The 15,209-nt window shown below is 41.6% G+C and overlaps 1 protein-coding gene across 6 annotated transcripts in view, besides 2 other annotated features; it reads right to left on the bottom strand.

Moving 5' to 3' along the window:
• Window positions 1-15,209, bottom strand: part of COMMD1 (copper metabolism domain containing 1) — a 247,668-nt gene that overhangs the window by 4,837 nt on the left and 227,622 nt on the right. The window lies entirely within an intron of this gene.
• Window positions 1,422-1,622: a silencer, noted in NCBI's record as "peak3724 fragment used in MPRA reporter construct". NCBI's record gives its function as "represses an SCP1 promoter by STARR-seq MPRAs in K562 erythroleukemia cells {active_cell/tissue: K562}" and the evidence as "EXISTENCE:reporter gene assay evidence [ECO:0000049][PMID:32103011]".
• Window positions 1,522-1,571: an enhancer, noted in NCBI's record as "active region_15847". NCBI's record gives its function as "activates an Ori minimal core promoter by ATAC-STARR-seq in GM12878 lymphoblastoid cells {active_cell/tissue: GM12878}" and the evidence as "EXISTENCE:reporter gene assay evidence [ECO:0000049][PMID:35858748]".

Below are 15,209 nucleotides of genomic sequence, written 5' to 3'. Positions count from 1 at the left end.
GTGTATTAAACTCAACGGTTTAAATAGCCATTCCAAATTACAATGGAAAGCAAAGGCAAAATATTCAAATTTTTGTCTCTCCAAGTGCAAATGTTAAAAAGCCACAAAATCCTATGACAAAATCCGTGAGAGGATTCCCTCTCCAAACCAACAAAAAAACCGAGCCAGCTCTAACACCTCCTGACAAGGCCATCTCACATATTCCTAATGAACTCCTTCCCTGGTAACCACTCAACACTCCTCAGGAAACTTACTGGTCAAGCCTAAATCTTTAATGCTTTAGCTTTAACTCACTTCCTAGCAAGGTTAGAGAGCATAATTGATTATTAGTTTACAGAATAACTGAAGGCTGTTAGTAAGCAAATGTTTGGTTTTATCCATCTACACACTAAATAACCTCTTTGAGTATTATTGTCCATTTTAAAAACCTCCTTAACTAGGTTCTGAGCAATTCTTCTGCAAAACAATACTACAGTGACAAAATGCTTAAACTAGAAAATAAAAGACTTATCACATATTAAATACTTGAATAGAACCATTTAGAACAAATTCAACATAAAATAAAACAACAGTCCTATATTTTCTACAGTAATACTACTTCCCATGCAAAATTTTCACAACGCTTTATCCTCTAATTTATGGATCATATTTAGGATTATAATACAACATTGGCAATGTTGGCTCTAATGTCTTGTGTTTTCTTTTAAAAATGATAAATTTGGGGGATGGAGGGTGAGAGTGGGAAAGGATGCCTTAGAATTTCACTAACCAATACTGATTCAAAAAGGCCACATAGGTGTGCACCTGTAATCGCAGCTACTTGGGAGGCTGACGCAGGAGAATCACTTGAACCTGGGAGAGGGAGGTTGCAGTGAGCCAAGACTGCGCCACTGCACTCCAGCCTGGGCGACAGATTGAGACTCCATCTCAAAAAAGAAAAAAAAAAAAAAAGTCACATAAAGCTGGCTATGTTTCATAAAGCTTATTACCCCAGATTTTTCTTTTAATTTCATTTGTTGACACAAAGGGACTCTTGTTTGTTTTTTTGTTTGTTTTTTTTTTTTTTTGAGACAGAGTCTCGCTCACTGGCGCGATCTCGGCTCATTGCAAGCTCCGCCTCCCGGGTTCACGCCGTTCTCCTGCCTCAGCCTCCTGAATAGCTGGGACTACAGGCACCCACCACCACGCCCGGCTAATTTTTTATATTTTTAGTAGAGAAGGGGTTTCACCGTGTTAGCCAGGATGATCTCGATCTCCTGACCTCGTGATCCACCCGCCTCGGCCTCCCAAAGTGCTGGGATTACAGGCGTAAGCCACGGCGCCCGGCTCAAAGGGACTCTTTATTGAGCACAAACTTTGGCCATAAAGCCTATCCTCTGTTTGGGCTGTCCTTTCATATGCTTAAAATAACCCTTTGACCCACAACTCTGCAACTGTCTTCTGTGTTTAACCACAGCGGAAGGAGGGGAGAGAAAGAGAGAAAGAGGAAGAGGGAGAGCAAGCACTCAAGAATGAACACATATGGCAGACATTAAAATTGGCAATGGCTCCTTGAAGGGCAATTAAATAATAAATAAGAAACCCAGTAGCACTGAACATTGCCTGCCAGAGAAGTTCAAAACATCTTCATAAGTAAACCTGTGTTCACCACTCATTCCCACACTTTCTGTGGCTTTCTTACAATTATCATTGATACTGCTCCTTTACTTCAAGAGACCTGGAATCCCAGAAATAGCTTCTCTGTAGCAAAAGATCACCCAACTTCCTTCCTAAGGAACCACTGGCCCCAATTAAAATTTTATATTTTCCTGAAAACTGTGCTGATTATTTTCCATTTGTCCTTTCCTATTCATTATCTTCCCTTCTCTGTCTTATTCCATGTCCTGTGGGGCTGTTCTCAAAAAATTGTGTCACTCCTTACAGTTGGGTTCAGGCAAGAGGAGAGAGAGGTTATTATATTAATTCTTCTGATATTTCCAATATTTTCTATGTAGGGTATCGTTTCTTCATTTCCTATTTTATTTACTGGTCTCAATCACTATTTCTTCTGGTTCACAAAGCCAACAGTACACACATAAAGCTAAGTCTCTTCAGACTGCCGAAGCATAGAATCACCAAATACAAACTCCAAGGTTGAGCAGAGCAAGGCCTGTCATCATGCCTAGGTTGGTAAGAAGGTTGCCCTCCAAGTATTAAATAATAGGATAAGCTAGAACCAATATTTGATATTTTCTATTACCATTTGATACTGATTTTTTTTTTTTTTTTTTTAGATGGAGTTTCGCTCTGTTGCCCAGGCTGGAGTGCAGTGGCGTGATCTCGGCTCACTGCATCCTCTGCCTCCCAGGTTCAAGCAATTCACCTGCCTCAGCCTCCCAAGTAGCTGGGACTACAGGCGTGTGCCACCATGCCCAGCTAATTTTTTGTATTTTTAGTAAAGATGGGGTTTCACTATGTTAGCCAGGATGGTCTCAATCTCCTGACTTCGTGATCCACCTGCCTCGGCCTCCCAAAGTGCTGGGATTACGGGCGTGAGCCACCGTGCCTGGTCTTGAAATATCTTATATGGTAGCACTTTGATATCTTAAGAATGCAAGGAAGGGAAGGAGGGAGGGAGGGAGGTAGGCAGAAGAGTAGGAGAAGGAGGAGGAAGAACAACAACATCAACAACTAAGATGAGATTTCATTAAGAATTTGCTCTTTAATTAGATCCCGTTTGTCAATTTTTGCTTTCGTTTCAATTGCTTTTGGTGATTTCGTCATGAAATCTTTGCCCATGACCATGCCCTGAATGGTACTGCCTAGATTTTCTTCTAGGGTTTTTACAGTTTTGGGTTTTACATTTAAGTCTTTAATTCATCTTGAGTTTTTTTGTTTTTTTTTTTTCTTTTTTTTAGACAGAGTCTCACACTGTCGCCCAGGCTGGAGTGAAGAAGTGCCATCTCAGCTCACAGCAACCTCTGCCTGCTGTGTTCAAGCAATTCTCATGCCTTAGCCTCCCAAGTAGCTGGGACTACAGGCGCATGCCAACATGCCTGGCTAATTTTTGCATTTCTAGTAGAGATAGGGTTTCACCATTTTGGCCAGGCTAGTCTTGAATTTCTGATCTCAAATGATCCACCTGCCTCAGCCTCCCAAAGTGCTGGGATTACAGGCATGAGCCACCATGCCCAACCTCATCCTTTTTTTTTTTTTTTTTTGAGATAGAGTCTCGCTCTGTCTCCCAGGCTGAAGTGCAGTGGCACAATCTTGGCTCACTGCAACCTCTGTCTCCTGGGTTCAAGCAATTCTCCTGCCTCAGCCTCCTGAGTAGCTGGGACTACAGGCATGTGCCACCATGCCTAATTTTTTTGTATTTTTAGTAGTGATGGGGTTTCACCATGTTGGTCAGGCTGGTCTCAAACTCTTGACCTCAAATGATCTGTCTGCCTCAGCCTCCCAAAGTGTTGGGATTACAGACATGAGCCACTACGCCCGGCCCCCTGGCCTCATCTTGAGTTAATTTTTATATAAGGCGTGAGGAATGGGTTCAGTTTCAATTTTCTGCATATGGCTAGCCAGTTCTCCCAGCACCATTTATTAAATAGGGAATCCTTTCCCCATTGCTTTTTTTGTCAGGTTTGTTGAGGATCAGATGGTTGTAGATGTGCAGTCTTATTTCTGGGTTCTCTATTCTGTTCCATTCATCTATGAGTCTGTTCTTGTGTCAGTACCATGCTGTTTTGGTTATTGTGGCCTTGTAGTATAGTTTGAAGTCTGGTAGCATGATATCTTCGGCTTTGTTCTTTTTGCTTAGGATTGTCTTGGTTATGCAAACTCTTTTTTGGTTCCATATGAATTTTAAAATACTTTCTTCTAATTCCATGAAGAATGTCAATAGTAGTTTAACAGCAATAGCACTGAATCTATAAATTACTTTGGGCAGTATGGCCATTTTCGCAATATTGATTCTTCCTATCCATGAGCATGGAATGTTTTTCCATTTGTTTGTGTCCTCTCTGATTTCCTTGAGCAGTGGTCTGTAGTTCTCTTTGAAGAGGTCCTTCATTTCCCTTGTTAGCTGTACTCTTAGGTATTTTATTCTCTTTGTAGCAATTGTGAATGGGAGTTCATTCATGACTTGGCTTTCTGCTTGCCTGTTGTTGGTGTACAGGAATGCTTGTGACTTTTGCACACTGATTTTGTATCCTGAGACTTTGCTGAAGTTGCTTCAGCTTAAGAAGCTTTTGGGCTGAGATGATAGGGTTTTCTAGATATAGGATCATGTCATCTGCAAACAAAGACAATTTGACTTCCTCTCTTCCTATTTGAATACCTTTATTTCTTTCTCTTGCCTGCTTGCCCTGGCCAGAACTTTCAATACTATGTTGAATAGGAATGGTGGGAGAGGTCATCCCTGTCTTATGCCGGTTTTCAAGGGGAATGCTTCCAGCTTTTGCCCATTCAGTATGATATTGGCTGTGGGTTTGTCATGAATGGCTCTCATAAAAGAAACTATCATCACAGCAAACAGGCAACCTACAGAGTTGGAGAAAATTTTTGCCATCTATCCATCTGACAAAGGTCTAATATCTAGAATCTACAAGGAACTTAAATTTACAATAAAAAACCCATTAAAAAGTGGGCAAAGGACATGAACAGACACTTCTCAAAAGAAGACATTCATGCAGCCAACAAATGTGAAAAAGCCCAATGTCACTGATCATTAGAGAAATGCAAATCAAAACCACAATGAGATAACATCTCATGCCAGTCAGAATGGCAATTATTAAGAAGTCAAGAAACAACAGATGCTAGTAAGGTTGTGGAGAAATAGGAATGCTTTTACACTGTTGGTGGGAATGTAAAATTAGTCCAACCATTGTGGAAGACGGTGTGGCGATTCATCAAAGATCTAGAACCAGAAATACCATTTGACCCAGCAATCCCCTTACTGGGTATATACCCAAAGGAATATAAATCATTCTATTAAAAAGATACATGCACATATATGTTCACTGCAGCACTATTCACAACAGCAAAGACATGGAATCAACCCAAATGCCCATCAATGATAGGCTGGATAAAGAAAATGTGGTACATACACACCATGGAATACTATGCAGTCATAAAAAGGAATAAGATCATGTCCTTTGCAGGGTACACAGATGGAGCTCAAAGCCATTATCTTCAGCAAACTAATGCAGGAACAGAAAACCAAACACCACATGTTCTCACTTATAAGTGGGAGCTGAACAATGAGAACACATGGACACAGGGAGGGAACAACATTCACTGGGGCCTGTCGGGGGTGAAGTGGGGGGAAGGAGAGCATTAGGAAAAATAGCTAATGCATGCTGGGCTTAATATGTAGGTGATGGTTTGATAGGTAGCAAACCACCATGGCACACATTTACCTATGTAACAAACCTGCACATACTGCACATGTACCCCAGAACTTAAAATAAAAATTAAAAAAAAGAGAGAATTTGCATCAAAAGTCCTGGACAACTGAAACATGGCCTTGTTGCTATAACCTGTTCTTATACAATGGATAGTTTATGCTGTATCTTAAAACAATACTTTACAAAAAGAAAATTTGTGACATAATATTTTTTCTTTAGCCTTTGACAAAGTTTTTTTTTAAACAATAACTATTACTACCAATGGTCCTTATTCAGACCATTTTTATCTAGACATAGCCTCATTTCAAACACAATAGCCAATAAGTCCCACATCTACTATGTTCAGAGAGCATGCTAACAAAACAGAAAAAAAATCATACTGCAAATCACAACGCAAGTCATCCTACTGAGGCTGAAAAAGGACTGACATCAGTCAGTCTAGGACTGCAACTTAATTACTGAGCAATTAAATTAAAATGACTCACCCCCAAACTCAATAGATACCCATATCGTGATGAGAGCTATGTGGGACTAAGATAGAGTCTGCAGGAAGTAACAGAATTTACTCTAATAAATGAACAGAGCAGTGCCTCAGCACCTACCAGGTGCTTTCAGAGTCACAGAATCTTCTAGAGGAAGTGTTTATCCATATTCTCACAATCTCCTAGAAAAGGACTAAGTATTACAGTATTAGTGTAATACAAAAACATTAATCATCACTGGACAATTAGTGATTTTCCTGGAGATGTCATTCAGGCATTTCAAAGGATTTTTGTGACGACAACCTGATGACAGTGTTAGAATGCTTAAAAATTAAAAAGCCTGCATTCCCATAAATTCTTGTATTCAAAAATAAACTTTACGGGAAACATGAACTTTCAAATGGCTTACTAGAAACTCAAGGAAGAAAGAGACATTTGGTATCTAGGAAATTTCAGATCTACCACTGATGTAAGTGACTGCTAAACAAATCTAAGTGATCAACTTTCCAAGGGACACACACAGGTTTAATATAAAATGGCAAAATTGGGAGGCCAAGGCAGGTGGATTGCTTGAGGCCAGGAGTTTGAGACCAGCCTGGCTCACATAGTAAAACCCCATCTCCACTAAAAATACAAAAATTAGCCGGGCTTGGTGGCACAAACCTGTAACCCCAGCTACTCATGTGGCTGAAGCACAAGAATCACTTGAACCCAGGAGGCGGAGGTTGCAGTGAGCTGAGATGGTACCACTACACTCCAGGCTGGGCGACAGAGTGAGACTCTGTCTCAAAAACAAACAAACAAACAAACAAACAAAAGGCATTTTTAAAATAAAATAACATCAGATCTTAATTATTCAGAGATTATCCAGGTCCTCTGCTGCTTCTCTTCTGCCACCTGTGTTGCTCCATCTTTTAGATATTTCCACAAGATGGAAAAATAAAGTGAACTTAAACTGGTTAATGTGACCATATCACAGCAGCTCTGCAAAACATTTTCTGGAAAAGGAGATTAGGACTATTGGCAGGAACTTTATTTATTTATTTATTTATTTACTGAGATGGAGTCTTGCTCCATTGCTCAGGCTGGAGTGCAGTGGCACGATCTCAGCTCACTGCAACCTCCGCCTCCCAGGTACAAGCAATTCTCCTGCCTCAGCCTCCCAAGTAGCTGGGACTACAGGTGTGTGTGCCACCATACCCAGCTCATTTTGTATTTTTAATAGAGACAGGGTTTCACCATGTTGGCCAGGCTGGTCTCAAACTCCTGACCTTGTGATCTGCCCACCTTGGCCTCCCAAAGTGCTGGGATTACAGGTGTGAGCCACCGTGCCTGGCTGGGAGGAACTTTAACTGTGACTTCACACTACTTTGGAAAATCATACCCTATGGTGCAATTAAGGCAGAAAAATATTTTTATTCCCAAATATTTCCCTTCCTTTGATGACCAGGACTACTGCCCTCAGCCTAGGTTATGTTTTAAACACATAAATACTCCCAGGAGAGGTCATTAACACCTTTCTATTACTTAAAAATCAAGAGATTTATTTTCTCCCAGGAAGAATGAACCATGTAGTCTGCCTTAAAGCATTAAGAGGGACTGGGGCTAGTGGGTGTAGGACCAAACCCTGCAAAGCACAAGATATAAAAGAATCAGAAAAGTAACAAAGGCAAATCCTTCTCCTTACTCTATAATTCCTATAAGATACACACACAGATCCATAGGTAAAATATTTTCAGTTATTCAGATTTGCTGATCCATACCCTCCATGCCTTCCTTCCTTTCTCCTTCCTTCCTTCTTTCCTTCCTTCCTTCCTTCCTGTTTTTTTTTTTCTTTTTTTTTAATTTTTTTTTCACATGTCTTGCTTTGTTGCCCAGGCTGGAGTGCAGTGGTGCAATCTTGGCTCACTACACCCTCCGCCTCCCGGGTTCCAGCAATTCTCCTGCCTCAGCCTCCCAAGTAGCTGGTACTACAGGTGCGCGCCACCACACCCAGCTAGTTATTGTATTTTTTAGTAGAGAAGGGGTTTCACCATATTGGCCAGGCTGGTCTTGAACTCCTGACCTCATGATCTGCCTGCCTCAGCCTCCCAAAGTGCTGGGATTACAGGTGTGAGCCACCGTGCCTGGCCCATGCCTTTCTTTTTAAAAAGTATTTTTTTTCTGATGGGGTCTTGGTATGTTGCCCAGGCTGGTCTTGAATTCTTTGGGTCAAGCAATCCCCCTGGCTTGGCCTCCCAAGTAGCTGGGATTATAGGTGCATGCCAACACACCTGGCTTCCATGCCTTTCTAATCACTCAGTTACCAAGGCTGCTAGACATCAAGAAAACCTAGGGAACCTTACAAAGGGGGCATTAGCAAGATAATCTCAATAAAAACCAAAGTCTGAATTTACACATACACACACATACCCTCCTACTGCTGTGGTTCCATTTTTATCTGCAGGCTCAGGGCCTGTGCGTTAACAAGGCAATGAGATTCTAAAAACACTATCCACTCAAAGTTGTTTAACTTTCCAAGAAGAGAGAAAGTGGGAATGTGCCAAGAATAGGACCCAGAGGTTCTTCTTTTGGTTTGAGATTTCTTGGTTAGAAAAAAGCTAGAGCCATAATTTAGCTAGATAGATATTCCTGTCCTGCCAATATGTGGTCAAAAGGAACATGTATTTTGGCCCAGGCCACCCTGCCTTGTTTCTGAAAGGAAGAAAACAGTTTTGATCTTGCAAGAATGAGTGGTTCTTTGGTTGGATGAATTATGTACAGCTAAACCAAGAGTAATCACTATTCTTTTTTTCCTAGAGATTTCAAAGCAGTCTGACATACACTCTGTTCCCTGTTATAGGCCAGTGGATAATAAAAGGTAGAGGTACCACCAATCTTTGTTTCACTACTAGACAAAAAAAAAAAAAAAGAAAAGAAAGAAACTTAGAGATTTTCCTTCATTATGTGAAGTCCATAATTCCCAGCTCTTTGATTCAACCTATCACTGGCTAACCCCTGACTCACATCTGACTCCCGAGTTTTGATACTTTCAAACCCAACTGGTAAACATTGAACAGGGTAGAATGGGAACTAATTAGAAATACCTGATTCCGTATTGATTTACGTAAGCGCCAGCACTTAAGCATTTACAAAGGGATTTTAGAAACATCCAACAAAATAAAATAAAATGTAGCCAAGTTATATAAACACTCAAAGTTAAATGCAATTAAATAACTGGCTAATTTCTCATGCATTAAAGGGCTGTACAAAATAAATAAATATGGCCAGGTGCGGTGGCTCACGCCTATATTTCCTAGCACTTTGGGAGGCCTATGTAGGCGGATCACTTGAGCCCAGGAGTTTGAGACCAGCCTGGGCAACATGGCAACCCCGTCTCTACAAAAAATACAAAAAATTAGCTGGGCACGGTGGTGGGTACCTGTAGTCCTAGCTAGTTAAGAGGCTGAGGTGGGAGGATCACCTGAGCCCGGGAGATAGAGGCTGCAGTGAGCTGTGATTGTGCCACTGCACTCCAACCTGGGTGACAGAGTGAGATCCTGTCTCAAAATAAATAAATAAACAAATGGCTAATTTCTATGTTTTTTCTCTTTCTCTCTCTCTTTTTTTTTTTTTTTGAGACGGAGTCTCGCTCCTGTTGCCCAGGCTGGAGTGCAGTGGCTCAATCTCAGCTCACTACAACCTCCACCTCCCCGGTTCCAGCAATTCTCCTACCTCAGCCTCCCAAGTAGCTGGGATTACAGGTGCACACCAACACGCCTGGCTAATTTTTGTATTTTTAGTAGAGATGGGGTTTCACCATGTTGTCCAGGCTGGTCTCGAACTCCTGACCTCAAGTGATCCACCCACCTTGGCCTCCAAAGTGTTGGGATTACAGGTATGAGGCAACACGCCCAGTCCTGTTTTCTCAAAACATCACACCCTAGTTCATTTTACAACTTTTCATTTTAGGCAGGAATTTTTTTTTTTTTTTTTTTTTTTTTTGAGAAAGAGTCTCTCACTCTGTTGCCCAGGTTGGAGTGTAGTGGCATGATCTTGGCTGACTACAACCTCCACCTCCCAGGTTCAGGTGATTCTCCTGCCTCAGCCTCCCAAGTGGCTGGGATTACAGGCAAATGCCACCACGCCCAGTTAATTTTTGTATTTTTAGTAGAGATGGGGTTTCACCATGTTGGCCAGGCTGGTCTCGAACTCCTGAACTCAAGTGATCTGCCTGCCTCGGCCTCCCAAAGTGCTGGAATTACAGGCGTGAGCCACTGTGCCTGGCCTTTAGGGAGGATTTAATGGTTACCTGTTAAGATTTTCTGTATTTTGCTGGGCGTGGTGGCTCATATCTGTAATCTCAGCACTTTGGGAGGCCAAGGTGTGTAGATTGCCCGAGCTCAGGAGTTCACAACCAGCCTGGGCAACATGAAAAAACCCTGTCTCTAAAAAAACAAAAAGAAAAACAAAAACAAAAACAAAAATTAGCTGGATATGGTGGCACATGCCTGTAGTCCTAGCTACTTGGGAGGCTGAGGCAGGAGGGCTGCTTGAGCACAGGTCAAGACTGCAGTGAGCTGTGTTTGCGCCACTGCACTCCAGCCTGGGTGACAGGGCAAGACTCCATCTCTAAAAAAAAAGAAAGAAAAGAAAAAAGAATTTTCTGTATTTTGAAAAACTTTGACTGAAAGAAATTTGGTTAAAAAATTATTTTTAGGTGTTCTGGCTTGATGTGTGGGAAATCATCTTATTTTTGGCTAAGTAGAACTAGTTCCCATATGACAATGGACAGCATACCTGAAGAAAACCACTGAAAAGCTGAAAGGCAGATCACACTGAAGGAGAAATAAATTTCACTTAAATCTCAAAGAAACCAAAATGACAAAACTCTTAGCACATTAAAAAAAGAGTGTTGTTGATTTTAGTTTGAAGTTCAGATTAGGGCCCCTCATCATTCCTGATGAGGTTCATTCCATTTGCAACAACTCATTTGCAAACAAATTTGATAAACAAACTACAATATATTTACATGAAAGAAACAGAGAGGAATTGAAGAAAAAAAAAAAAACCCACAGCTGGGTGCAGTGGCTCATGTCTGTAATCCCAGCACTTTGGGAGGCCAAGGTAGGTGTATCACTTCAGTCTGGGGAGTTCAAGACTAGCCTGGGCAACATGGTGAAACCCATTCTCTACTAAAAATACAAAAATTAGCCAGTGTGCTGGCGCACACCTGTAATCCTAGCTCTTCAGGAGGCTGAGTGAGGCAGGAAGACTGCTTGAGCCCAGAGGTCAAGGCTGTAGTGAGCTGTGATCGGGTCACTGTACTCCAGTTTGGCCAACAGAGTGAGACCCTGTCTCGAAATGAAATAAAAAAAGAAAAAGAATAATAATAAAAAAAATAAATAAACAAAGTCATCCAGAGTTGCCTGAACATCTGCACATCACTACAGGCTGAACAAAATATGCAATAGTACTTGCTTTCTAAGGATGATAATCTACAGATTAAGATGGGGAAATATCATAATACATCTAATACAAAAACAGGAACACAGCATCAGCAATGAATTTGAAACTCCTTGGCAGAGGAGGAAAGCAGAAGTGGTACTAATCAAACCAATTCTGGGATTGCAGTTCTTCTCCAACAAAAGGGATCACCAACTTACTCTGCCATCTATCTATTCCCAGCCTTCTCAATGTGGTTTCTCTAAGTTAACTCATGACAGCACCATTAGGGAGAAATAGGCATAGTTAGAAAGCAGTCTTTCTCTTGACCCTTCTCTAGAGAAAGCAAATAAAGCTATGTAAGGAGGGCAAATGTTGAAATGACCAAGGATAAGAGGACTTTCAATTTCAGAAAATGCTGATTTGGGGAAAAAAAGTTTTGGATTTTGTTTTTTTGGCTGGGGTGGAGTTGTATGGGTTGTGAGGATTAATTTTATTGGGTTTCCCACTGCAAAAGCTCTTCCTATCTGTTTATATCTCTGTTTATATATGAGGCAAGGTAGCCTCTTATTCTCTGTATTAGTTTGCTAGGGTTGCCACAGCAAAGTATCACAGACTGGGTGGCTCATGCAACAGAAATTTTATTTCTCATAGATCTGGAGGCTAGAAGTCCAAGATGAAGGTGTCAGCAGGTGTGGTTTCTCCTGAGGCCTCTCCTTGGCTTGTAGACAGCTATCTTCTCTCACGGCCTTTTCTTTGTGTGCAGGTACAGCTGGTGTCTTTTCTGTGTGTGTGTATGTAAGGACACAAGTCATTCTGGATTTGAGCCCCTCTCCCCCTGCCCCACAGTCTCATTGTAACTTAACTGCCTCTTTATGTGTTTATCTCCAAATGCAGTTACATTCTGAGGTACTGGGAGTTGGAATTTCAACATATGAATTTTGGGAGGATGCAACAAAATACTCCCCAGTGCTTAGAGGGTCCTGTGCTTATCAAGCATCTGGTAAGTGTTTGTGGTTGATGGTGATGATCTCACACCTATTTCCTGATTTGCTGCCCACATGGTACAAATAATAATTTCTGGTATTTAGTCCATAAATAAGAAAAACACAACAGACCAAAGCTATCTGCTTAATTGCCCAGGTCTGCCAGCCCATTTTGGCAGAAGCCATATCTGGCCTCACCCTCATTGAACTTGATTTTGAAATGTAATTTAATTTACGGGGACTGCCAGGATAAAACCTGTGAGGAAGGGGATTAGAAAATGGCACAAAAGAAATCTCTCCTACCCCACAACTAGATCCTATTAAGTGTCTTGCCTGCCATGCTATATCCCAAAGTCTAGCCCTGAAGACTAACTCAGGATCTGGCACACCATCCTGAGAGAGAATAATATGGGGATGAGGGATTAGGAGAAAGGATTGCAGTCACTGCATGAAGTTAGTCACCAAATCTCTCTAACTCAAATAGCTTCATGCAAACTTCTGGAGGTGGTGTTAGACAGACAGGAAGATAGGAGGTTGCTTTATTATCTAAAGTTGAATTCTGACATCACTTGGGTTGCTGGGGCCTTTGTTCAAATGCAATAATCATCCCTCACATTAACAATGTGTTTCCCAGTTTAGAAAGCCCTTTCACATGCATGATCTCATCTGATCCTTAGAACAGAACTGTTAAACAGGAAGAGATCAAGCCAGAAGGTAAGGCATTTTGAATAACTGTAAAAATGACAGAATTTGCCCATCTAACCCAAAGCACATCCTTCCAGTCATATTTGGCAGAAAGATTTTATCAGAAAATGCAATGGATTTTAAGGGCTTTGATATACTTCTAATCTAAGTTAGGGAGGAAAAGAAAGTAAGACCTCATTTACTTAAAATCGCACACAATTCTATAAACTTGGTTTAAAAGTTCCGTCCTTTACAAAACGCAGAGTAGGAGTCAGGTCCTAACTAGGGAAGAAACAGACTTTCTTACTTGGACATCACTCATTCTTTGAAAGCAGTGGAGAGAATAGAAAAGTTGGGGGCGGGGAGTGCGGGGCAGGGTGCAGGGATCATTTCTGGACCCTTGGGAAAAACGAAATGCCTAAAAAATGAAAAGCCACTAAAGAAAAATCAGCATGGAAGACAGAAGTAGGAGAGATTGTGGGAAAAGTCTGACAAATCGGAACACTTTAGCAAATTCAGGGGGAGCCAGAAATCACACAAAATAACAAAAAATAATGATAATGATAACCAACAATGGCTAACATTTATTCCACACATACAAAATGCCAAGCATTATGTGAAGTGCTGTACATGTGTTATTTCAGTTGGTGAGAATAATTTTATCCCATTTTACAGATGAGGAAAGTGAGGAAAGATAAGGAGTAATTTGTTCAAAGCCACACAAGTAGTAAGTAGCAGAGCTGGTTTTAAACCCAGATCTATCTGGCTTCAGGACCTGAGCACTTAACTGTTTCACAATCCTGACTCACATTCATATAGAACATAAACGCCATCATTAATAGGCACTAATTACCCACATGTAAATGTTATTCTAAGATTCAGTTAACTTTAAGAAAGACTCAAAGGAAAGCAGGGTGTTGCCAGTCTAACACTCAGAGTCAACCTTAAGTAGCCTATGAAAACCACTTTATGTACAGGCAACGAGTACATACATTTTGGTAGATTTCTAGCATGAATGTAGTAGTGTGATGGGGCAGCAGCCCGGCTGAGTTAATATGTGCATGTGACCCAGGCAGAGAAGCATGTTAAAAAGAGACTCAGTTCCTCTTATGAGGCAAGGTGGTCTCTTATTCCTTCTATCTTTCTGTGGGTATGTGTGGGGGCAAAGAGGGAGGCAGGGAGGATCCAGTATATAGCTACTTATTACCATCAGCAGCAGAACTGTAGGCAAGGTTCATCTTTGTCATTTTTTTTTTTTTTTTTTTGAGACGAAGTTTTCGCTCTTGTTGCCCAGGCTAGAATGCAATGGTGCGATCTCGGCTCACCACAACCTCCGCCTCCTGGGTTCAAGTGATTCTCTTGCCTCAGCCTTCTGAGTAGCTGGGATTACAGGCATGTGCCACCATGCTCGGCTAGTTTTGTATTTTTAGTAGAGATGGGGTTTCTCCATGTTGGTCAGGTTGGTCAGGCTGGTCTGGAACTCCCGACTTCAGGTAATCTGCCTGCCTCAGCTTCCCAAAGTGCTGGGATTTACAGGCATGAGCCACCACGCCCGGCCTTTTTTTTTTTTTTTTTTTTTTTTTTTGTAATGAGACAGAGTCTCGCTCTGTCGCCCAGGCTGGAGTGCAGTGGTGCTATCTTTGCTCACTGCAACCTCCGCCTCCTGGGTTTAAGTGATTCTCCTGCCTCAGCCTCCCAAGTAGCTGGGACTATAGGCGCATGCCTCCACGCCCGACTAATTCGGGTATTTTTAGTAGAGACGGGGTTTCGCCATGTTGGCCAGGCTGGTCTTGAACTCCTGACCTCAGGTGATCCGCCTGCCTCGGCCTCCCAAAGTGTTGGGATTACAAGCATAAGCCACCACAACCGGCCAAGAAAAACATCTTAACTACAACTTAACATAGTTTCTCTGTAAAATTACAGTCTCTGTTTATCTCATCAACTTGGTTTGGCAACTTTTTTACCAATGGAGGAAGCAAGAACAGAATATGGTCCTGGCTGAGATGCCTTAGTTGGGTTTTGCTGGTTTCTGAAGAATTTTAGCCACACTTATAAAACATAAGACATCTGAAATACTGTTGTTATATAATTTCAAGCACATAAAAAATACAACAGGGCCGGGTGCAGTGGCTCACGCCTGTAATCCCAGCACTGTGGAAGGCCAAGGCAGATGGACTGCTTGAGCCCAGGAGTTCAAAACCAGCCTGGGCAACACGGCAAACCCCATCTCTACAAAAAAATACAAAAAT

Source organism: Homo sapiens, chromosome 2 (assembly GCF_000001405.40).
Source record: "Homo sapiens chromosome 2, GRCh38.p14 Primary Assembly".
In the NCBI taxonomy this organism is placed as follows: domain Eukaryota; kingdom Metazoa; phylum Chordata; class Mammalia; order Primates; family Hominidae; genus Homo; species Homo sapiens.
The sequence above is the reverse complement of the archived record's forward strand: the minus strand, read 5'-3'. Positions and strand labels throughout refer to the sequence as shown.